This window comes from Homo sapiens, chromosome 10 (genome assembly GCF_000001405.40).
Source record: "Homo sapiens chromosome 10, GRCh38.p14 Primary Assembly".
Classification (NCBI taxonomy): domain Eukaryota; kingdom Metazoa; phylum Chordata; class Mammalia; order Primates; family Hominidae; genus Homo; species Homo sapiens.
Window position 1 is genome coordinate 94,307,166 of NC_000010.11, and position 25,735 is coordinate 94,332,900.

Genomic DNA, 25,735 nt, shown 5'->3' on the forward strand with positions numbered 1-25,735 from the left:
GTAGATTGGCTTTGTTGTGGCACTCTGATGAATTTCAGCCTGTGCATTGTTTTTAAACTTTGATGTGCACAGGAATCTGCTAGGACTGGTAATACCATGCAGATCGTGATTCAGTGGCCTCAGGTGAAGACTGACAGTTTCCCTTTCTAACATATTTCCAGGTGTGCTGGCTCTGATGGTCTCCTTTGAGCACCAATATTCTAAGTACACACTTCCTCTCCCAGCTACACTCAAGCTGCCATCCTTGGAGCTCACAAACACATTACAGTTTCCTACTTTTGTGATCTTTTCCTGTTTCTCTTCTGTGTGCAAGTAGCCCGTGGTCATTTAATTAGTCTGCTCAGGCTGCCATCATGGAATACCACAGACTAGGTGGCTGAACCACAGAAATGTATTTCCTCGCAGTTCTGAAGGCTGGAAGTCTGAGATCAGGGTGTTGGCAGGTTTGGTTTCTTCTAGGGCCTCTCTCCTTGGCTTGCAGATGGTCCCCACACAGTCAGCCCTCTATGTTGTCTGTGTCCTAATCCCCTCTTCTCATAAGGACACCAGTCCCACTGGATTAAGGCCCACCCTAAGGACCCCATTTTAACTTAGTTACCTCTTTAAAGACCCTCTCTTCAAATATAGTCACATTCTGAGGTACTGAGGGTTAGGACTTCTACACAAGAATGGGGAGTATAGGGTCGGGGGAGACCCATAACTGTTATTATAGAAATGTGAGAAAGTACATAGAAACAAAAACAATTTTTTTTTAATTATCCATTTTTCCATCTCTCCAACACAGTCACTCTTGGTGTATAAGTCTTGCAGGCTTTGTTTCTCTCCCCATGTACGTAACACATGAGCATACAGATATATTTTTAACAAACAGGCTTTCTACTAATCTTTGTGTTTTGTAACTTACTGGTTTTCACTTACTAATGTATACAGTGAGCAACCTTTCATGTTAATAACTATACATGTACATTACCATTTTTACCAGCTGTGTATTATTCCATTCTATACTTACACTTACAGTCATACCATAAATTATAACCAATCTTCCATTGTGGGAATGTTCTATTATCACTAAAGCTGCTCTAAGATGGAACATTTGTAAAACAGGGACTGTTAGTCTGTTAGTGCTTCATTCACAGGGACTGTTAGTGATCAGGTTTTCCTACTAGATCAGGTTTTGTCTGAGTTTAAGGTTTTCTGTTTGAGTCTAAGTTGGAAACAGTACTTGGACAAATTAATTGCCATTGGGTAACTCAGGGGGCAGCACTCTCTTGGCGAAAAGACGCCTGTTGGTTGCATGCCTGTTGCCATCCCTGCCCATTTTAAGGTCTTTCTACCTGTCATTTGCCGACTTCCAGGAGCATCTTCTTTTCAGTAGCCATGGTTAACAAGCTTTTCCCAATTCTGTATTACTCCAGGATATCGACATCTTCAGCTGCGAAACCTTCACAATGAAGTCTTGGAGATTTCTAGTTTATTCATTAACAGCAGAAGGATGGAAGAAAATTCCTCTGGCAATACCATGTCAGCCTCTTCGGTAATGAAGTTCTGTTTCACTCAACATATTTATGGGGATTGCTACACTGAAGGTGGGCTTTTTTGTGGCCCAGCAAAGTGGTCGGTGTGAGTTATTAATTAGGTAGCTATGGAAATTAATAACAATAATGGCTGACACTTGGCACTGACTAAGCACTTTACGTATATACTAACTCAGTCCTCTCAATAACGTCAGGCAGTAGCTATTTAGTATCATCTCCATTTTGCAGATGAGAAAGGTAGAGCTAAGTACATCTGAGGTCACACAGCTAGCAAGCAGCAGTCCAGGATTTACACCCAAGTTCCAGTAACAAAGCCCATATATTACAGTGTCTATCAGGGAAGTAAGCCAAATATAACAAAGTGAGGAAGAGGCTTATTATGCGAAGCCTAGTAGGAAGCATTTCCAATACTTCTAGAAACTTTAGGTTAAACCAGGAAAATATTTTGTTTCTTCAGCAGTCCAGGGGCAAATGTCACAGGCAGAGCAAGGCTGGAGTGAGCAATAGGCTCTGCTGGCGATGCATAACTTGCACCTCAGTGCTTGGCAGATGCAGAAGCTGCTCCCTTGAGAATGGAAGAAGGACACTGTAGAAAGTGCCATAGTTGCAGAATCTGCTTTTTTTTTTTTCCAGAGACAGTGTGTCTCTGTCACCCAGTGTCACTCTGTCACCCAGGTTGGAGTGCAGTGGTGCCATCCTGGCTCACTGCAGCCTCGACCTTCCTGGCTCAAGCAATTCTCCCACCTCAGCCTCCTGAGTAGATGGGACTACAGGTGTGTGCCACTATGCCCAGATAATGTTTTTCTATAGAGATGGGGTCTCACTATATTGCCCAGGTTGGTTTTAAACTCCTGGACTCAAGCGATCCTCATGCCTTGGCCTCCCAAGGTGGCCTCCCAAGGTGCTGGGATTACAGGCATGAGCTACCGCACCTGGCCAGAATCTGCTTTTTAACAAGTGCCTCATGGAAACTCAGTGCCCACTAAAGTTTGAGGACACTTGGACCATGGCCCCCTCACTAATGCAGGATGGTTTAATTAGGTAAGAATCTGGGCTGAGTGCAGCGGCTCATGCCTCTAATCCCAACACTTTGGGAGGCCAAGGCAGAAGGATAGCTTGAGTCCAGGAGTTCAAGATCAGCTTGGGCAAGACCCCATCTCTATTAAAAAACGTGTTTTAATTGAGCATAGTGTCGAGCACCTATAGTCCCAGCTACCTGGGAGGCTGAGGCAGAAGGACTGCTTGAGTCCAGGAGTTTGAGGCTACAGTGAGCTATGATCACACCACTGCACTCCAGCATGGACAAAGAATGAGATCCTGTCTCTAAAAAAGGTATTTTTAAAACAACTACTTTAATTAACTGGCTAATTCCATTATGCTTCCTCTTTAAACATACATTTTAAAAGTGTATCCATTGGTTACCCCCTTTACATGTTTAATAATGTGATTACTTCTGTGTCAATCTCAGACTCAACGTAGTCCTAACAATCTTTGGAAAGGCACCTTCTGCGCTCACAATGGCACTGGCCATGATGGCTTCCACTGCCACTTTCTGCTTTCTTTTCTGCCCTTCTCCTGCCCTCACCACTATCAGTTTTGACTCCCGCTGTCCCTGCCCTTGTTTGCTTAGGTGTTCCTCCTTTTTCCCTTCATCACTCCACAGCAACCTTCACTGTACATTTGTATCACCTGGGGAGCTTTAAAAACTCCATGTGCACAGGCCACACCCCGCACCAATTAAACCAGAGTCTCTGCAGGTGGGCCCCAGGCATCAGTTTTTTTAAGGATCATCAGGCGATTGCACCATGTGTCCAAGGTTTAGAAGAGCACTTTGGCCAAAGTGGAGGGAGGTGTGGCTTCCACCTTGTGCAGAGGATTGACAAGCAAGGGCAGGGCCGCGTGGTACAAAGAGCAGGAATCACATGCTTTCAGAAAGGCAGAGCAGGGCCAAATACCCAATTCTGAGCTGGGTGACCTCGATATCTGTTACAGCTGAAGATTCCACAGATGCCACAAATGAACTGTTTTTACTCACGACACTTCTGACACCAAAAACATGGTGTCTTTTCCAACTCTCTGGCAACAGCTGGGTGTCCTACATTTCAGTTCAATTCTAACACTATCCATCTAGAGTTGGTGTCAGATCCCACACATTGAGGGCTCAGTCCCACAAGACTACTCCTACTTCAGATGCCAGTCAGAAGTCCCAGGTTGTCACCAGGACTTCTGACCAAACAGCTATAAATTCAGGGGATCCATATAAATCCTCAGATTCAAGAGTTTGCTAGAATGACACAGAACTCACAAGAGTGCTTTGCTTATTATCACCAGTTGATCAGAACAGATGTACTTCAGGAGCAGCCTCATGGAAGGATGCATGGAACAAGGTATGGGAGGAGGAGTGCAGAGCTTCCATGTCCTCTCCAGGCCACCCTCCCAGAACCTCGATGTGTTCACCAACCTGGAAGCTCTCGGAACCCCATCATTTAGGGTTTTTATGGAGGTTTCATGACCTGGGCATGATTGGTTCAATTATTGGCCACTGGTGATCAGTTCAGTCTTCAGCCCCCTCCCCTCCTTGAGGTCTGGCAGCAGGGCTGAAGGTTTCACCCTTCTAATCATGCCTTGGTCTTTCTCAGCCACCAATCATCTCATTAGCAACAAAGGACACTCTTATCACTCCAGAGATTTCAAAGGTTTTAGGAGCTGTGTGGCAGAAACTGGGGACAAAGACCAAATATGTATTTTTTGTTATATCACACCTTGCCATCCTTGGGCTTCCTGGGCAGCCATATATGGATATGTGCTTGGTAAATGTGCATTTGACCATGGAGAGCATCACTCTCCATTGCTGAAGCCAATAACTGTAGATCATCCTGGCCTTCTGCCCCATTTAAGACTTGATCATTCTATTTCCTTAGTATCTTTCAAATCCATTCATCTTGATCTGTCTTTATTGCCTTGGCCCTGGTTCATTCTCACCTGGCTTGTGGTAGAGTCTTCCTAATTGGTCTCATTTCCTCTGGGTTTGCCACCTCTGTCTGTCCTCATCTAGGGCATCCCAAACAGATCTATCTAAATATGATCATGTCACTCCTCTGTGGAAAACCCTCCATCAGTTCTCCATTGCTTTCAGGGTATAGTTTATACCAGAAGTAACAAATTCACATGCCAGGAGGATCCCAAGAAGATGATGTGCAGGCATGGACCTGGGCTGAGCACAGACTCTTAGAAAGCAGAGAGCTCATGGGTCATTTAGAGGGGAGCTCATGGGTCATTTAGAGGGGCAGCTGTCACCTAGCTCTCAGCTCTAGCTGCTTGTTGCCTTGTGATGTCGTCAGATCTCTTGGTTTTTCAAGAGAATCAGGACATCTGGGGTTTTGTAAATGTTGGCAACTATTTAATCTTTTTAATTAATAATATAGTGCAAGCTAAATGATACAATTAGAATGTGTGCATTTTATAGTATGACAATTATACTTCAGTAAAACTGATTTTAAAAAAATCACATTGTGCAAGCATAACAAAGACAACCTCTCCTCCCCACCCCAAATAAAAATTAAGTACATGCTAAACAATACACTTCAGCCCTCAGGTCCTCATTTTGCCAGTTTCAGTCTAAATTTTAGCCAGTTAGGCAAAGCCCTGAATGGCTGTGCTTTTGCCTGCATCTCCAGCCTTTCTCCCTCCAACAGGTTAGTTGTAGAACTTGCTGAGGTTCCCAGAATGCCCTGCTGTAGGCCATTTCTAAGTCTTCATACACATGTTACGTCAATTTGGGGTTCTCTTGTCTCATTCTTCATCTGCTAAATTACACTAGGTCCTTCAAGATTTGGTTCAGATACCATTTTTCAGAAAGCCCTCCCTGGTTTCTCCCTTACCTCTTCTAGGCCACCTCCTCTGGAACTTAAAATGCTCTTTACAACTGCCTACTTTCCCCTCTAGCTATCTCATTCAACTGGAAGCCCTTGGCAGGGATAGTGTCCCATTTGCCCCTGATTTTCTAGGGACAGGCATAATGACTGATTCACTATAAGCCTTCCATAAATTATTTATTTCAAATGAATATATCTTAATACACAAAATGCCCGAAGAATTGAGTTACACACTTACCGACCTCTTTCTAACAGATATATGTTTGCATTCTAATGATTCATGTGCCTGAATGATGTACTCTCTAAAGGCAGAACATTTTATTATTACCATCCAAATTTCTAGCCCAGTACCCTGAAGAGAGATGGAACTCAATAGATACTATGGAACATCAGTTAATGAGTAAGAACTAACATACATTTCAGATAATATCAGCCTCTAATTATGATGGAAAGAGACACTGTAATTTAAAATAATATTTTGGTGATGTGCTTATGAAATACCCTCACTAAATGACTGAGGAAGAGGTACCATTTGTAGCACTAGGCTACAAATGGACTCTCATCTTTTGCATTTACATGTTCCTATCCGTACTTCTAAGTACTAGCACCTCTGTATCAAATAGAGCTTAGAAATATGTGATTACGGATGAATGATCAGCCATGTGATCTTCTTGACAGATGTTTAATACAGAAGAAAGAAAATGTTTGCAGACTCACAGAGTCACGGTGCATGGGGTCCCAGGGCCAGAGCCCTTTACCGTTTTCACTATTAATGGAGGCACCAAGGCAAAGCAGCTTCTGCAGCAAGTAAGTCCACTGAGCCGTGGTTGGGAGAATCCAAAATCTAAGATGTATGGATGTATGTGTGTGTATAAATGCCTGTGTGTAAACATACACAGATGCACATGAATGCGCAAAAGTCCATGTGGATGATATGCCTTTTGATTATTTGGAAATGTGTTATTCAACATTGAGATCCACTCCAAGAATCACCTGATGGATCTTGGTACCACTAGACAAACTACCTTCAACCTGTAGAGAAGATTTTTAATGATTCTTAAGCTATATAAAATACCAGGCTCTAGAATGATAAAGACCGGAATGAGTGGCCTTCCAACCATATATACACTTTCGCCCTAAGCCTAGACATGGCCTAATCTTCCTTCTTCACGCAGAGATTATTAATCAATCAGAATTTGCACATTAGGTGAATGGAATCTTCTTGCCATCTGAGGAGCTGAATCAAATTCTTAGAGCTTCAGGATGGGCCACGTGGACCAAGGAGACATTTTCTGCCCCTCCAGCCTAAGGCCTTCCTTTGCATGTTGAGCAGCCCCCTTGCTCCCCTCCCCTGGCACCTGACCTTGGCATTTGAGGTCCTCTCCTTTTGGTGGTAGCAAGAGGCATGGAGACCCTGAGACCTGTTACCCCAAGCCCTGTAGCAGAACTGGCCTAAGTCTCCTTATGCTGTGCCACCTCCGCCCTAGATCCCCCTCCGAAGGATCTTTGTGGCCTTCTGCAGACAGGTCCCCATCCATGGGGGGACTTCTAAGAGTGAGAGAGCCAGGGACATGGAGCAGCATCCAAAGAGGGAGGGGGCATGTCCTCCAAAGGGCGAGGCAGGGCCCATGCGTAATTCCTTTTTTCACCACACCAGAAGCGCTATCCTTGCTTGGCACAGTGGCCTAAAATCCTTGCAGATGATTTTATCCTTAACCCATTTCAGAATTCCTTCTCCATGCAGCCAGGCGCAGTGGCTCACACCTGTAATCCCAGCTCTTTGGGAGGCCGAGGCAGGCGGATCACGAGGTCAAGAGATGGAGATAATCCTGGCCAACATGGTGAAACCCCATCTCTACTAAAAATACAAATATTAGGTGTGGTGGCGCACATCTGTAGTCCCAGCTACTCAGTAAGCTGAGGCAGGAGAATCATTTGAACCCAGGAGGCAGAGGTTGCAGTGAGCCAAGATAACACCATGGCACTCCAGCCTGGGTGACAGAGTGAGACTCTGTCTCAAAAAGATAAAAAAGAATTCCTTCTCCTGAATAGGAGTAGACTAAAGGAAGCAATGACCAAGGGAATGGCCCTTTAGCTCCCTCTGAAGTTAGGGTGTATGATGAAATGTAGCTGGGATCATAACATTTGGAGGAATTAAAAACCAACTGAACAATCACAAATAATAAGTGTCAATAAATGGCTCTGTCTTTCAAGGGCACATCTCTATAGACAGGCTAACATTCTGTCCAACATTTTATAACTGACTTAAATAGAGAAAACAGCTCAGGTGTCACATTTCATAGATTATCAAACAGAAGCTATTACCAACAGTTTGTTTTGGTTTTGTTTTAATACATCAGTCCATGTACTTTAGTGTCCACTATCACAAAGCACTGCTGAAGTTTTGTAAAGGAAAACTTACCAAGAGCCACCCATAGCAGTCCATTGCTTTACTGTCACCCGTGCAAATCAGCACACAGATATAAAGCAGGACTGAGCAGGGGGTGATGCTGGCCCTCTTGTGGAGGTGGCCCAGAAGCTTCACATCCTGAATTATCCCTATAGTATTTGCCTTGGCCCCCTTTTGAGTCAACAGCATTTCATCATTTATAGACCAAGGGCTGGGGTGGAGAGATTTCAGTCTTCCTGAGAACCTTCACTCCCACTGCCCTCAGTCCATCACATTCTGCTTTTCCTCCTGGTGAGATGTGTTCGCTCTGGGCTTTGCCTTATTGGCAGGGGCCTGAGGAGAAGGGTGTTTGCTTAATCCAGACCAGATGGTGGCAGCTTTCTCTCATCACCAAGCTACTTCTCACGGGAAGGCAACAAAGGGAGTTTCTTCACTGCAACTGACCTTTACTCCCTTCAAATTCAGCCTTTTGTAGTAACCTGTACAATATGAGTGAGAAAATACATTGGTAAAACTATAATGCCTGTAATCCCGGCACTTTGGGAGGCCGAGGCGGGCAGATCACTTGAGGTCAGGAATTTGAGACCAGCCTGGCCAACATGGTGAAACCCTGTCTCCACTAAAAATACAAAGATTAGCCAGGCATGGTGGTGCACACCTGTAATCCCAGCTACTCGGGAGGCTGAGGCATGAGAATCACTTGAGCCTGGGAAGGCGGAGGTTGCAGTGAGCCGAGATCACGCCACTGCACTCCAGCCTGGGCGACAGAGGGAGACTCTGTCTCAAAAAAAAAAAAAAAAAAAAAGTAACTATAATGGCTCATCTTTATTGAGTTCACCTAATGTACCCATGTTATGATTTATGCTTCAACCATAAAACAAAATTAAGATTGCTACTATTTCCATTGTGTAGATCGGAAAACAGTCTCCAAGGGATTAAGTATCTTACCCAATAATTCGTAGCCAACAAGTATTAAAGGCAGACCTCAGACTCAGGTCTGTCTGGTTCCAGGGCTTTGTCTCAGCTGCCCTGTTTGACTGCACAGGGTCAGCAGCCAACAAAGAAAACAAGCCCTTTAAGCACACTGTCAGAAGTTTATTTAAAGAAGAATTCCCAGGAACTTAGACCACATGAGAACCTAGCCCTACAAACCTTCCATGAGAAGATGACCGAGTATTTCCAATGTGAGAAAAAGAGATTATCTTAGTAAATACTAAACTAGGTTATTTGCCCTCAGTCCTGTGTTGCAAGATTACAAAGGGCTAAGTTCATGGAATGAGAAACCTAAAATTTTTAATTCACTAGGAGCTCTCATTCCAGCAGTGGGAAAAAATAGTTATGCTGTCTGGGGATTATGAATAAGTTGTGCCGTTGCCCGGAGTGAACATAAACAATCCATTCTGAACATAAGAGAATTCTTAGATCTTCCAAAAAGAATTATGCAATACTCTAGAGTAAATTTCACTTATAAATTGCATAGCAAACCTATCTGAACACCATGAAAGTTGATTTGTTTTAAGTTTTTGCCTCACTCCTCAGTTTGCCTTCACTTTTTCTTTAGATTCTGACAAATGAACAAGACATCAAACCTGTTACCACAGACTATTTTTTGATGGAAGAAAAATATTTTATATCTAAAGAAAAGAATGAATGTAGGAAACAACCATTCCAGAGAGCCATTGGTCCAGAAGAGGAGATCATGCAAATTTTAAGCAGCTGGTTTCCAGAAGAGGGATACATGGGCAGGATTGTCTTAAAAACCCAGCAGGAAGTAAGTGTGTCTGGGTGCAGCCTACACAGTAACGACTCATTATGTGATTAGCCATTTACCACTCACAACCTCCCTGAAATTCAGAATTTCTTGTAATTGCAACTTGGTTTATATTCTTCTTAAGTAAATGTGGATGAACAGTTTTATTCTTCTGCACATAATCAGAATATTATCTCTAAGGTACAGAAATTCAATCTAAAAAACATCCCTTAGACCGGGCGTGGTGGCTCACGCCTGTAATCTCAGCATTTTGGGAGGCCGAGGTGGGTGGATCACTTGAGGTCAGGAGTTCAAGACCAGCCTGGCCAACATGGCGAAACCCCATCTCTACTAAAAATACAAAAATTAGCCAGGCGTGGTGGCAGGCACCTGTAATCCCAGCTACTCATGAGGGAGGCTGAGTCAGGAGAATTACTTGAACCCAGGAGGCAGAGGTTGCAGAGAGCTGAGATCGTGCCATTGTGCTCTGGCCTGGGCAACAGAACAAGACTCTGTCTCAAAAAAAAAGACAAGGAAATATGTTTTCTCACACAAATAAACTATTCCATTTTAAAAATAAATAAAAACATACCTTATAAGATAAAGGAAGCAAAGATTCCTTATGCATGTCATCAGCTATGGGTCCAGTATTTTATTTGTATGTGTGAAAAGACATCGTTGTGAGGGTCACATTACTGTATAATGCAAAACCTGCAGGTATTTTCTATTCTGGGGATGACTGACTTCCAGTTTTAGCTAATAGAAGTTTTAGCTAATAGAAGCTTCCATGCTTACAAGTAAAATAATAATATTTCTTTGAAAATATTCCAGAACTTCATACAAAGTAAGAATAATATCTTGGCCTGAGTCAGAATTAGTAACAATTTATATTACGTGTGCTAAGATTCCCATGATCATTCCTGGGAAGGAAAGGATGCAACAACTGCCATGTTGACTCCAAACTGATTGGCTCCTGTTTGACTTAATTGATGAAGCACTTTTTTTTTTCCCTGAATTAACTGAGAAAACCCTACTAACTTAAGAATGACATATAAGGTCATTTCTCTAGCATAGACAGTCATGCGTCATGACATGTTGATAGTCAAGCAGTTGAGTCTATTCAACAATTTGATTACATAAATATTGAGCACCTAATATGTACCAAGCCCTGTTCTGGGCACATGATCTGCTCCTTTGGGGCATGTAATAGTGCTTGCCTGATAGAAGGTGCCTCAGGCCCATGCTTGCTAGGGCACAGTGAAGATAATAGCCAATTTTAACCATTGTGTGTTTTCACTTTCTAGTCACAGTGAGTGAATGTGACCTAAAGCCTCTACAGAGCTCTAGCATCAACTCTAGAGCCCAGAGCCACTGCCTTCTTTCCCTGACCTTGCCTGAGACAATGAAAGGGCATTTAATTTAAGCAAAAAAATGTAATTGTCTCCCCAGCCTTCTCTCCCTATTAAGACACACTAATTGCTAAGACAGAGACCAGGCAACCCTAATAATAATCACTTTATGATAAAATATCAGAGGGCTTAGCTGTACTTTTGAAGCCATCTTTAATGTCTAAATTTTTGTCCTGTTCCTAAATTGTCTTGCCTTATTAATTAGCTACATGTAAAAAGTATGTATCCTCTAAGCGATGTCAGAAAATCAGTAAATTTGTAAACCTCATACTTGTGTATGATTTACAGCGTTGAAAGCCCTCAAACACTATGTTGAATGATATAATGGAAACCATTTTACACTTAAGGAAATAGATTCAGAGAGGTGAAATCATGACAGGGTTAGAAGTAGAAAGAACTCAAGTCTATGGCTTCCAGGTCAGTGTTCTTTCCACCATCCTGTGCTACCCAAGCTGAAATTGTGTCCATCCTTGTGGATCACCCACACTCAGCACCTTGGGAGGAGCAGGAGGCAGTGGGTAGGCTAGAGGGAAGACAGGCTGGCTGCTGAGTGTCACAGGAAGCTTCATTTTATGCTCAGAGGAGCTGGGGAGGTGAGGGACACCCAAATGCAATTTAAATGTATACCACAACAAGCTGGGCACGGTGGCTCACACCTGTAATCCCAGCACTTTGGGAAGCCAAGGCAGGCTCAGGAGTTTGAGACCAGCCTGGCCAACATGGCAAAACTCCATCTCTACTAAAAATACAAAAATTAGCAGGGCGTGGTAGCAGGCACCTGTAGTCCCAGCTACTCAGGAAGCTGAGGCAGGAGAATCACTTGAACCCAGGAGGCAGAGGTTGCAGTGAGCCAAGATTACACCACTGTGTTCCAGCCTGGGTGACAGAGCAAGACTTCATCTTTAAAAACAAAAAAAAGTATATGACAACAGGCAGTAGGGACCTCAGGAATATGCTTCCAAAAGGCTGGTAAAGGAAGGCATTTTGAAGAAAAAGGGGCATAAATCAGAAGGGAAGGCTAACAAGATTTTTCTGATAAGTAAAATATGGCAAGTTGTCCTTTATATGCCTTTGTTAGGAAATTTTTGAAATGACTGAAATATATCTCAAAAGATAACTAAATTTAGTGTATCTAGGTTTACCTGGTGCATAGTGATACCCAAATAATAATTGCTGATTGAATAAATGAATTCAGTAATTACTGAATGTAAGAGGGCACTACTAGAGGAGACAGATTTGGGCTATAAGTATTTCCATTTATTTTATCCCATGGAACTAATAAGACATATAAGCAGTTTGCCCATATATGAAAATTCTTCAGTTGCTCTCTGTGACCTCTGATCTCTCCTGCCTTTTATAATTTTCTTGTCTCCTGGGCTTTCAAGCTGTCAGATACCACATCTTCCTGTGGTCAATGTGTCCTCTTCTGTTACTGGATTTGAAATTGGGTAAACCAGGATTGTCACAATGAACAGACCACCTAACTTCTGTAAACCTCACTGCCCTAATTTGTAAAATCTATATACAAACTACCCTACTTGACTCAAAGAAATGATCATGAGACTCATGTCAAACATGTACACAGACAAGGTGTACAACAATGCTTAGTAAAAAGGGATATAAGTGAGGGCTATTGTTATTTTGTTCATAACCTGTGGCTTCGAACTAATGTGGCTAGAAATACCTTAAAATAAGCTCTGAGGGAGGCTCAAAGGTGCTCTTTTTTTTTTTTTTTTTTTTTTTGAGATGGAGTCTGGCTCTATTGCCCAGGCTGGAGTGCAGTGGCGCGATCTCAGCTCACTGCAAATTCCGCCTCCCGGGTTCACACCACTCTCCTGCCTCAGCCTCCTAAGGGTGCTCTCTTAAAAATAAAGCTTAATGCATCGTTGTTGGGACATTTTATGTGCCAACTCTGGTTTTCTGATTTCTTGCCTCCTGGTTTGGGGGACAAAGATTATAAATTATGTCATGTGAATTACCTCTCAATCTTACTCTCTGACTGGTTAAATATATGATGATCAGTGCAATGACATATTATTAAGCAAGTTGTAAAACAGTATACATAGGATACAATCTCATTTTATGTAAAAAGAGACAATAGCTCATCTCTTCCCCCCCTTCCATTATATAATGGAGTATTCATTCATGGGAAAAAAATCAAATGGATTTTTTCACTCATTGAAAAAAGTTAAAATAGATTATATATCTTTATTTATTTAACAAAAAATCATGTAATTATAAGGCCATGATTGCAAAGTTAATTAAATGATTGGGGCAAGCTTCAGAAGCCAGTCCTTTCTGGCCCTGGTTGCAGTTTTGGCGCCACCTGGTGGCAGTTATCTATTCTGACTTTAATCAATGGGTACAATTCTAGTTGGAACTTCCAAGATAGCGACAGCAACTCATGGATTCTTCTGGTTAGTTAGTTAGCACCCATTTCAGTAGCCTGGTCTGGAGAGATGAGGCTAGAATTCTGGGGATAAGGGAGTTTTCCTGCCAAGACCTCACTTGCTGAGATGAGGTTGTCTACTGTTTACTTACTTTACCTCTCCCTGCCCTTTTACTAAGTCTCCCTCTTGCAAAAGGGAAGCTATCCTCATTTGAAAATGTGGTGGACAAAGAACAGCAGCAGCTGCTTGACAATCACATTATATCTAAATTCACCTAATTCAAGGGTGTTGCTTTACATAGTCACATACACAAAAATACATTTGAACATCCACAGCAAATGTTTAAAAGGATGTATTATCCAATGACAGTGGGGTATTTTGTGGCGAATAAGGTGGGAGAAGGAAAAAAGATGAGAATGGGAAAAGTTTGGTTTTTCTTATTGATACGCTTCTGTACTGTTTGAAAATTTTTAATAAGATACATATATCTGTAGATACATAATCCACCAAAAAGCCAATTAATCTAATTCTCATAATTTTACTGTGAATTTTGTCAAAATTTGTTTCAATGTGGCTTACCTCCAGCCATTCATTCAGCCTTGTCACTGCAGTTTTGTTCACCCAACCTGTCAATTTCATGGTTTATATTTCAGATGTCTAGCATTTCTTAAATGCTCAACGTCTGTGGAAATGGGTGAGCTTTCTTTTAAATACAATTTACTGTGTTCTTATTTGGCTTTTGCTAATTGGCAAAATGGTATATTGTCTTTCTACAAATTTACCTACAGTCAACTTGGACTCTCAAAATCCACAGCTAGGCGGGGCACAGTGGCTCACACCTGTAACCCTGGTACTTTGGGAGGCCGATGCAGGTGGATCACAAGGTCAGGAGTTCAAGACCAGCCTGGCCAGCATGGCGAAACCCTGTCTCTATTAAAAATACAAAAATTAGGCATGGTGGCACACATCTGTAATCCCAGCTAGTCAGGAGGCTGAGGCAGGAGAATTGCTTGAACCCAGGAGGTGGAGGCTGCAGTGAGCCAAGATCATGCCACTGCACTCCAGCCTGGGCAACAGAGCAAGACTCCATCTCAGAAAAAAAAAAAAAAAAACCCACAGCTAATAGGAGCAGATAAATTGGCTTGTTATGGATCTATCAACATCATCAGAAGCACAGTAGTTTCCTCCTCTCAGGAGATAGGTATATCCTTTTAGAACAGTTTATGAAATAATAACATAGTATATGAGATATTAAGCTAAGAAGTTTCTACATCACCAAGATACAAGCTCAGATTTTTGCTAGATTTGTCTTTCTTTATTCTGCATAAACCTATTATTTACTCACATTTTTTCTTTTTAAACATAGAACCTAGAAGAGAAAAACATTGTTCAAGATGACAAAGAGGTGATCTTGAGCTCAGAGGAGGAGAGTTTCTTTGTCCAAGTGCATGATGTTTCTCCAGAGCAACCTCGAACAGTCATCAAAGCACCCCGCGTCAGCACTGCACAGGATGTCATTCAGCAGGTAAAAGCCTCTCCCTTCCTCACCTGAGTCCTTTCCTCAGCATAAATTATTGGAACAAATGTCTGTGCACTGATGGCTCATTTTATGAGTGAAGTTCCTCAACAACAGGGACCTCAAAGGGGAGTGTGTGCCTCTTAAGGCTGGGAAATTGCCTCACATGGTGGCTCATGCCTGTAATCCCAGTTTTAGGAAGCTGAGGCAGGAGGATTACTTGAGCACAGGAGTTGGAGGCTGCAGTGAGCTATGACTGGCCACTGCACTGCAGCCTGGATGACAGAGTGAGGCCCTGTCTCTAATTGAAAAAAAAAACAACCAACCCAGTGGCTCACACCTGTAATCCCAGCAGTTTGGGAGGCTGAGGGGGGCAGATCACTTGAGCTCATGAGTTTGAGACCAGCATGGCTGACATGGCAAAACCCTGTCTTTACAAAAAGTACAAAAATTGCTGGGCACGGGGGTTCACGCCTGTAATCCCAACACTTTGTGGGGCCAAGGCGGGTGGATTGCCTGAGGTCAGGAGTTCGAGACCAGCCTGGCCAACATGGTGAAACCCCATCTCTACTAAAAATACAAAAATTAGCTGGGCGTGGTGGCAGGCACCTGTAATCCCAGCTACTTGGGAGGCTGAGGCAGGAGAATCGCTTGAACCCGGGAGGCAGAGGTTGCAGTGAGCCGAGATCATGCCATTGCGCGTCAGCCTGGGCAACAAGAGTGAAACTTCGTCTAAAAAAAAAAAAAGTACAAAAATTAGCCAGGCATGGTAGCATGCACCTGTAGTCCCTGCTACTCAGGAGGCTGAGATAGGAGGATCGCTTGAGCCTGGGAGGCAGAGGTTTGCAATGAGCCAAAATCGTGCCACTTTACTCCAGCCTGGGCAACACAGCCAGACCCTGTCTCAAACAAAAACAAATTTTAAAAGTTTAAAATCTTGGAAATATTAATTCATTCCTTCAACAGACACTTAGTATCTACAGTGAGTTTGGATCTCTATAAAGCATTGATAATAATGGATTTAGGAAGTGACTCTGCAGTGACAATGTCATGGTCCCAGAAATACCTAAGCCAGTAGGTACTGACCATCTCTCAAGGATCCTACAGAGGACAAGTAGGAGGCCTACTCTGATCCTCTCCCCTCCTCTAAATCACGCTTCTCTGAGAGTTTACATGGTTTCAGAGAAGTTTGCTTCCTTCATAGCCTTGTTAGGGTAGGCCATTCATCAAACACCTATTTGAGAAGACATACAACACAACAATTAAGAGCACAGACCCTAGATCAAGCTGTGTTAGATTCAAATCCCAGCTCTACTTCTGAGACCTGGAGTAAAAGCTCAGATCTGTGCCTTAGTTATAGTAGTGTGCTGGTAAACCAGCTCTTTGTAAAAGAAAGATAAAAGCCCTTATTTATTTCTTTTGTGTAAATGCCCCTACCATATCTGATTTCACCAGACTATTCCCGTTGGCTCCAGCAAAACACTACATGGTAAGTCACCACATAGACCACCACATAGACAATATGGAGATAGTATGATAGTACTTTCCTTGAAGGTTAAGTATATGTAAGATGTTTAATACAATGCCTAGCAAATGGTAAACATTACTTAAGGGTTACTTGCTGTTCTTACTGTATGATAACTTAGTTAATATTAGCCATCTTATTCAACTGACTTTGAATTCCAAAGGGCCCAGACTTACATTTCTTTAACTTATCTTTGTCTCCCCTAAAAGTACAGCACAGTATCTGGGACATAATTGGCCCTCACTAAACATTTAATGAATTAACAAATGCATCAATGAAAGACATTCTTATATTAAATGAAAAGAGAGATCAGTTGACTTCTAAAATTCTTTCAACATCCAAGACTCTGTGATAGAGATAGCCCAGTGGGACAGAGACGCTCCTGAAGAGCAAGATTCTATTCCTCACTGGCTGACTTTCATGTCTGTGAGCGCTGGTACATGCAGAAAATCTGGTTCAGACCTTTATTGTTACTATTATAGCTGTATATATCCTGGAATCTACTTAACCTGTCTTAAGTATAAGCTTCCTCGTCTGAAATTCAGGATAATAACACCTAATTCATAGACTGTTGCAAAGCTAAATGAGGTAACGTGGGAAATTACATTACAAGCTACAACTATACAACTGCAAAATGAGTTGGATGAAATGATCTGGAAGATCCCCTTCATCTCTAGTCTGGGCCATTTTTCCACCTTAAAGTTTCATATAGAATGAATGCAAATGTTGGAGATTCTGTGTCTTTATTCAGTTGATCATAACTTACCTTTCAGACCTTATGCAAAGCCAAATATTCCTACAGCATCCTGAGCAACCCCAATCCAAGCGACTATGTGCTTTTGGAAGAGGTGGTGAAAGACACTACCAACAAGAAGACTACCACACCAAAGTCCTCTCAGCGGGTCCTTCTGGATCAGGAGTGTGTGTTTCAAGCCCAAAGCAAGTGGAAAGGTGCAGGAAAATTCATCCTTAAGCTAAAGGAGCAGGTGCAGGTAAAGTTTAAAGTTATTTTGCTCTGTTCTTAAGTTATCTGATACCCATAATTACACTGTAGCCAGATCTGGAAGCTGGTGAAATTTAGGAGAAAGTTCCTGAGTCAAGGAATGGAGTTAGGAGAAAATTGTTTGGCTTTGTTTTCACTGTGTGAAAAAACATGTGGCCGAGCTTGCGGTTAAGCAGTCCTAGAGGGGAGCTCCTCAGCCCTACTCTCTCCAAAGCTCTAGAGAGAAGAGGAAAGCGCTCTTCTGAAATAGTGTCATGTGACAGAGGAACCTGAGTTTAACCTAACACCAATGGAAGGTTCTTTGTTCCCACAGGCATCTCGAGAAGATAAAAAGAAAGGCATTTCTTTCGCAAGTGAACTCAAGAAGCTCACCAAGTCAACTAAACAGCCCCGAGGACTTACATCACCTTCTCAGCTCTTGACCTCAGAAAGTATCCAAACCAAGGAGGAGAAACCTGTGGGTGGCTTGTCCTCCAGTGACACAATGGATTACCGACAGTGACTAAGGGCAGCATGTTTAACCCAGGTATAGTAAGTCATTGCACCATCCTGGAACAGGGCTTAACTTAAACTACTTTGTAAGGAAGGCATAATTAGTACAATGTCTTTTATCTTTTCCAACAGGAGGATGTCCCTTGAAGGCAGGTAGGAATGGGACCTTAAAACAGGAAAAGGGCTCTGAAGATATGTGTAACATGATATGCTATTGAACACCGCCTATAAAGAAAAAGGGAAAGAGGCTGGGCGTGGTGGCGCATGCCTGTAATCCCAGCACTTTGGGAGGCCAAGGCAGGCAGATCACCTGAGGTCAGTTCAAGACCAGCCTGACCAACATGGAGAAACCCCGTCTCTACTAAAAATACAAAATTAGCTGGGCATGGTGGTGCATGCCTATAATCCCAGCTACTGGGGAGGCTGAGGCAGGAGAATCACTTGAACTTGGAAGGCAGAGGTTGCAGTGAGCTGAGATCACACCATTGCACTCCAGCCTGGGCAATGAGAGTGAAAACTCCGTCTCAAAAAAAAAAAAAGAAAAAAAAAAATATATATATGTAACTTGAGCTTTTGTAATTTTAGACCCCTTATTTATTTTGTAGATAAATAAGCAAAGCTCCCAAGAAGTCAATCAACTTGCCCAAAGTACTCTGATAGCCTTATTTCATCAGACAACTGTCTTCAGTATTAATAGCTGACAGAAACATTCTTCAAGGGCTCTATGGATCATTCAGCTTTTATTCTTTTGGATTTCTCGTTTTATTACTGTTCTAATTTAGGTTTGATGTAGCTTCAACAACCTCATCTCCTTCTGCCTCAATTAAAAAAATAAAAATCTGGCATCCGGGATGTGGTTAAAAAGAAAGCAAAATAACATAACAGCCTCAATCTTGGAAATGCAGTAAACTGACTGCTTGATAGTCACACAAATTTCATTCTATCTTAAAGCAAATTATTTACATGAGACCTGAATAAAAGCATGTGAGGGAACCAGTGGTAAGTCTCTCCTTTTCGCTTAGTTTCCTAATGAACCTAAGGGTTCATTAAAGCCCACTTTTCACCTGTTCCATGGTAGTTCACAGATTTAAAATTCCCAAGATGAACAGCACAGTGAAAGCATTGCTGTTTATGTGACAGAGCTTCACCATCTGCCTTTATGACAATGAGGAACTTCTGATATAAAACTGCCAAACTGCAGAAACTCACAATTAAAGAACTCAGTGATGCCTCTTCCCAGAGCCAAATTTTACTTAAAACAGCCCAAAAGAAGGCCCAATACATTGAGATCATGTTTCCACATTTAAAGAGCAACTCCTAAAATAACTGATGTCCTATATTACACTCTGCAGTGGTCAAAATTTTAAATATTGTTTTCCATATCCAGAAGTTAGTATCAAATAAATCATAGGTGTGATGTTATACACACCTCTATAACTTCTGTAATGAGGTGAAATTACACTAAAGCTAGTAAATTGGTCATATACTTCTCTACATATAAAGAGCCCGATATGTGCTACAAGATTACTTCTTAAGTACAGAAGAATACAACTCCATTAGAAATTTGACTTAAAAATAATATGCCTACTATAATGAACATTGCTAATTGCTTATATTTTAGGAGACTGGGGGAGGGTGATTGATAGTGATTTAGATGATTGCCTTTAGATTCTATTGTCCTGTAGCAAGTAGATATTTATTTTTTCTGACCAATGGATTCACATGACTTTTTTTTTCTTTTTCTAAGCAAGCAGATATTTAGAATCATTCTGTTAACTTCACAGCTTTGCTTAAAGCTGGGGAGGCCTGGCCAGGCACAGTGGCTCACGCCTGTAATCCCAGCACTTTGGGAGGCCAAGGCGGGCAGATCACGAGGTCAAGAGATTGAGACCATCCTGGCCAACATGGTGAAACCCCGTCTCTACTAAAAATACAACAACAGTTAGCTGGGCGTGGTGGTGTGCGCAGGTAGTCCCAGCTACTCGGGAGGCTGAGGCAGGAGAATCGCTTGAACCCGGGAGACGGAGGTTGCAGTGAGCCGAGATTGCGCCACTGCACTCCAGCCTAGCGACAGAGCGAGACTCCGTCTCAAAACAAAAGCTAGGGAGGCTTCTCTTATAGTCATTGGTGCATCTATGTGAATTGACATCCCATGTTATGACCTCCTTTACAATGGTCTTTTCAAGAAAGAGCACTTGTAAAAGAAAAGAAGAGCTCATAAGAAAAGAAGTTTAGAGTTTAGGACCAGGCACAGTGGCTCATGCCTGTAATCCCAGCACTGTGGGAGGCCGAGGTGTGTGGATCACTTGAGGTCAGGAGTTCGAGACCAGCCTGGCCAACATGGTGAAACCCCATCTCTACCAAAAAATATAAAAATTCCTGTAGTCCCAGCTACTCAGGAGGCTGAGGCAGGAGAATTGCTTGAACTTTGGAGGCAGCAGTCCAGCCAGACAAGAGGGAGAGAGAGCAAAAAGAAAGTTAGTTTAGTATTGTTTCCACTTTTTAGGTAACATATTTCATATTTGTTCTAAAATGATCCCTTTTAAAGTTTCAATAATCTACAGATTTTTAAAGAACATATTCATCTATCTGAAGTAGTAGTTAGCTGAAGGAATTCCACCTTTTCTTAAAGTTGAACAGTTTATTTGATGTGATCTTTTTTAAAAAAACAAACTTTCTAAAGAATGTGAAATATTTATTTCCAAGGCAGAAATAACCTAATGTTCTACTTCCTAGAAACATCATGTTCTAACATTGTGAGTACAGAGGAAACAGTCTCTTCCCCAAACCTAGCCACTAGAGCTGTGGCTGGAAAACTCTGAACCCTTGGTATACCGCAAGTGTTTCTGTTTCTTCATTTTCAGTATACTAATAAGCCTCTGTATACAACATTACAGGTGAAGATCTTTAAGCAAGAAGTTAAAGAGTGAACATGGTGGAAAAAATATAATTATTTTCATCAGACTTAAACTGGAAATTGATGATTTCTGAACTGAAGCCTTCACACATGTGAGATCCATGCTGAGGAGAAGCAAAATGGCACAGGGCTAGTTGCCACCAACCAATTTACTGATGAATGAAGCCCAGGGGACTGCCATTTTATAAATGTCAGCAGTTGGAAAAATCGTCACGAATTGACTTAGAGCAAGGGTCAGCAAGCTTGTCTGTAAAGGGCCAAACAGTAAATATTTTAGGGCTGGGGGCCATAAAATATGTTGCAACCACCCAATTCTGCCATTGTAGTGCAAAAGCAGCCATAGACAACACATACATGAACGAACGTGGCTGTATTCCAATAAAACTTTATTTATGGACACTGAAATTGGAATTTCATATATTTTTCACATGTCACAAATACTCTTGTTTTGACTTTTTTTCAACCATTTAAAAACTTAAAAACTATTCTTAATTCAGGGGCCATACAAAAACAGGTGGCAGGCTAGATTTGGCCCAAGGACCTTAATTTGCCAACACAACTAAGAGAAGAGAACTGGGAACAAGGAGCACAAAGATCTGAAAACAGGAAAGGAAGTTTAGCCATACATTTTATGGCCGAGAATTAGAAGCTTAGAATTAGAAGCTTTGGGGCATTTCAAGTGTAAATATGTCCTATAACATAAGAGTCATTAAAATTCAATTTAGTTCCTGTATTGTGTACCACAGTGCACTCCTCTTTAGGATTTTTTTACATATAGAAATAATATTGGGTTTTTTTTAAGGTTATTGCCTATTCAGTTAATAGGGTTGCTTTAAAAAAGGTTATTGCTTAATCATAGATTAGATTACTCATTTTTGGTTTTCAAAATGAATTTAGAATGACGTATAATTTAATATCTACTGAATTGCAATGTCTTAACAAGAAACCTAACAATTTTTTAAAGCAAAAGTAGATTGAGTTGGCGTTTAAATTTATTTTGCAAGGTTTGTACTGACACTATACTTATATATTTATTATACATCGCTCTCTTGATATTGCCATGGATTAGAAGCATTAGTTCTCAGTACTTGAAGACAAACTTCTAAAAAGAAAATATATGCTCTGAACATCTGAAATGGGCTAGACTTTCAAGTAAAATTGCTTCATTTCTCATTAACTGAAGAGCTATTGATCCAAGTCATACTTGCCATTTAATGTAAATTATTTTTAAACTTTGCTGTACAAAACCATTAAGTGTAAAGGATTCTTCATATTCTTAGTATGAAGCAAATTATGAATTTTAAAAATGAAATATGTATTCCTCTAAAACCCAAACTTTTATCTTTCCATTGGTATCTTTGAATTTTAAGACACTTTTCTTCAAATTACAAAACACTAAAACTCACTCCTAAACTTCACTTTGAGAAACTTTTTTAACCAATTATAAAAATAAAACCATCCCCATGTGTTTCTTGCATATTCTAAAAACAGAAGTGTTAAAAATACACCACACAGGCTGGGCAGAGTGGCTCACGCCTGTAACTCCAGCACTTTGGGAGGCCAAGATGGGCGGATCAGGACAGAGAATGAGGCCATCCTGGCCAACATGGTGAAACCCAATCTCTACTAAAAGTACAAAAATTAGCTGAGCGTGGTGGCACGTGCCTGTAATCCCAGCTACTCGGGAGGCTGAGGCAGGAGAATCACTTGAACCTGGGAGGTGGAGGCTGCAGTGAGCCAAGATCGCACCACCACGCTCCAGCCTGGTGACAGAGCGAGACTCCGTCTCAAAAAAAAAAAAAAAAAAAAAAAAAAAAAAAAAAACACCATACAGCTTTCATGTCATTGAAAGTTCTTACTGGGTCAAAGCCTTAAGGCTAGAACTACCATTTTCTTGTCAACAGAATTCAGGCTATTCCAGTTTGATGTAATCTATACAGTAGTACAGTTTTAAGTCAAATATTCATTCTAACAAATGCACAATGCTGCTCCATTTTAAAAATATTCCGGAAACACTTTATCAAGCCTCTATAAGTGAACATGCCAAACAGTTTGCCCTACCACGTGTTGAAAACTGAGTTGCTGGTCTAAGTGGCTAGAGGCCAAATGAAAACTGTGCAGAGTAACAAGATGAAAAGACTCGTCTCTTTAGGTTTATCACATTTGATTCTGATGCTAAGCGCTGCCCCACTCCTCCTCCATGACCTTTAACACAGGTGTATGTTTTACAACATAAATCTGAGACTGAAGTTGAGACCAGGTTGTTTAGCAAGTGAGAGAATCCAGCCTACTGCCTAGGTTGCATCCCAATTTAGTTGTTTATCACATTTTGAGGTGAAAGTACATACTTCATTGTATTTGAGTCTTTGGGATTACAGAAAGAACACATTGTTTCAAAATGTAAAGAGTTGGCTGGGCACAGTGGCTCATGCCTGTAATCCCAACACTCTGGGAGGCTGAGGTGGGTGGATCACCTGAGGTCTGGAGTTCGAGGCCAACATGGTGAAACCCGTCTCTACTAAAAATACAAAAATTAGCTGGGTACTAAAAATACAAAAATTAGTGGTGGTGGGCACCTGTAAATCCCAGCTATTGGGGAGGCTGAGGCAGGAGAGAATTGCCTGAACTCAAGACGCAGAGGTTGCAGTGAGTGGAGACTGTGCCACTGCACTCCAGCCTGGGTACAAGAGTGAGACTCCATCTCAAAAAAAAAAAAAAAAAGTAAAGAGTCTAGTCTACTATTATACACAAATGGCCAGCACAATCTGATGTTGGCTGAAAATATTTAAGTTTTATTTAAAGCTTTCTGAATTAAACAGCTATATTATGCCAAGTGAAAGAAATTATCCTAAATAGCCACTATGACTATACCCATTACCATTTCACACTTTTTAGGCCACCAGAAATCTGGGTAGCAAACTCTTCTCATTAAAGTTGATGTGGACAAGAATCTAAATATGCAAGTTGGGGTCATTACAAAATTTTAAGAAGCATCACTGAAAGTGAAGAGAAAGGAGCATGAATTCTGTCACTCTATTCAGTGATGCCAAATCTGTAGGAATGATCCTATCTGGGTAGAAAGTGCCCTTTGAGGGGTAAAGCTTCTTTTCATGTCATCATTAGCAAGTAAAAGTTATTTACAAATTCTCCAGTTGGGAGTCAATATGAAGTCTAGACTCAACAAAAGTTGAGTTACAAGTGACTTGTTTTTAATCAAACTTGCTTTCTTTTATGGGAGGCTTTTATGCCTCCCATCTCAATACCTCTGGAGACACTGGAAGCTCATTAATGAAAGTGGGCCCTCTATGATATGTATCAATTTACCTTTTGCTAACTACATCGTCCCCTTCCTTTCTTCTCTCCTCTTCCAATATCTCTATAGACTTCTGTCCTCTGCCCAGAGACCCACAGGCCTTGCTTAATTCTGGAAAGTTATCAGGGCTTGCTTACTGGCCCAATAAAATTGAATTAACTCTAAAACACAAAACTCCACATCTATGCTCCCATGCTAGTAAAGAAGAGTAGGATTTTCCTGGCTGGTGTCTTTGATCTTACATTGGCAGCCTGCAGGGAAAGTGCTCTCATGGTGAAAGTCTCTGACCCCTTTTCAGTTGCTTATATATCAGCAGTGAGGCCAGAAAAGATATACCTGGGACCCCAAAAAAGTTAGAGAGAAAAGGGAGATTGTCTCTTATACAGAGTCTAGACTTGGGTCAATATTCCCCATGATCCATTGTTAATAATTTATGTGTTCTCTGCCATCCTTATGTAGCAGCTTCCTAAAAGCAATCCTTGGCTGATGGCTATGGATTCTGACATAGGAATACCTGAAATGAGTCCCTTTGAAACACATACTGAGTCTCTATGATTACCAAGTTATTCTTTTTTTTTTTTTTTTTTTTGAGGCAAAGTCTCACTCTGTTGCCCAGCCTGGAGTGCAGTGGTACGATCTCGACTCACCACAACCTCCACCTCCCAGGTTCAAGTGATTCTCCTGCCTCAGCCTCCCAAGTAGCTGGGACTACAGGTGTGCGCCATGTCCGTCTAATTTTTTTTATTTTCAGTAGAGACGGGGGTTTCACTATGTTGGTAAGGCTGGTCTCGAACTCCTGACCTCGTGATCCACCCGCCTCAGCCTCCCAAAGTGCTGGGATTACAGGCGTGAGCCACCACACCTGGCCTACCTACTCTTATACATCTCTTAGATTCAAAACATACTATGCACAAGCCTGTCACCAAACAGATCTCTGAAACCTTCCCTATTGCAGATGACATAGGTCTCTAAACTTTTGACACAAGTAATTCTAACACTGAATTGGGTACTGTCGCATTTTTCAAAAGCGTTATGTGGATGATTTGACTCAGCATGGAAGACTGAGGTTGTCTTACACCCATTATTTCCCACCCCACTCTTAAGTGCCAGCATAGTGCTAAACACACAGTAGGTGCTCATTATTTGTCTAGTTAAAAAACAAATTAAGGCTGTAGCTTAATATAGCCTCAGGATATGTGTGTGCCTGTGTGTGTGTGTGTGTGTGTGTGTGTGTGTGTGTGTGTGTGTTTAAACATAAGCTTACATATAAGCGTATGTAAGTTAATGCACAAATATATTTCCTCAAATTCACATAGGATACTCAAATATAGATGTATAATTTTGTAGTCCCACTGTGATTCTCCATATGTATAACAAGAAAATTAAAGGCATAATACAGCTGTGAAATAGCTGATGAGTTTCTATTTTAAGCTGATTTTTCACCAGAAGTATAGTTTCTGCTGCCAAAGTAAAGTATAAATGTATTTGTATATGTGTGGAAAATAAATAATTTGTGACATGTATTGGTCACTTGTGCTCTGATGGGGATTAGACCCTTTGGTTATCCACACAAATATTTATCACATTCCTGGACTTTGTT

The 25,735-nt window shown here is 41.5% G+C and overlaps 2 protein-coding genes across 32 annotated transcripts in view; one reads left to right on the forward strand and one right to left on the reverse strand.

Annotated features, from left to right (window-relative positions):
• PLCE1 (phospholipase C epsilon 1) overlaps positions 1-25,658 on the forward strand; it is a 338,893-nt gene extending 313,235 nt beyond the window's left edge. For 22 of the 30 annotated variants that reach the window (XM_047425285.1, XM_047425289.1, XM_047425297.1 and 19 more), the window contains 7 exons: positions 1,416-1,534; positions 6,089-6,217; positions 9,382-9,591; positions 14,736-14,894; positions 17,184-17,402; positions 17,727-17,939; positions 20,803-25,658. In XM_047425285.1, the coding sequence (XP_047281241.1) occupies positions 1,416-1,534; positions 6,089-6,217; positions 9,382-9,591; positions 14,736-14,894; positions 17,184-17,402; positions 17,727-17,915 (1,025 nt within the window). In that variant the 3' untranslated portion in view covers positions 17,916-17,939; positions 20,803-25,658. Of the gene's footprint in view, positions 1-1,415; positions 1,535-6,088; positions 6,218-9,381; positions 9,592-14,735; positions 14,895-17,183; positions 17,403-17,726; positions 17,940-18,037 lie in introns of all 30 variants that reach the window. The other 8 variants (XM_047425294.1, XM_017016311.3, XM_047425288.1 and 5 more) reach the window with 2 other exon arrangements.
• NOC3L (NOC3 like DNA replication regulator) overlaps positions 7,742-25,735 on the reverse strand; it is a 48,033-nt gene continuing 30,039 nt past the window's right edge. The window contains exon 22 of one of the 2 annotated variants that reach the window (XR_002957007.2): positions 7,742-8,299. The gene's annotated coding sequence lies outside the window, so the exon portion shown is untranslated. Of the gene's footprint in view, positions 8,300-14,662; positions 15,618-25,735 lie in introns of those variants that run through there. The other variant, XR_007061982.1, reaches the window with a different exon arrangement.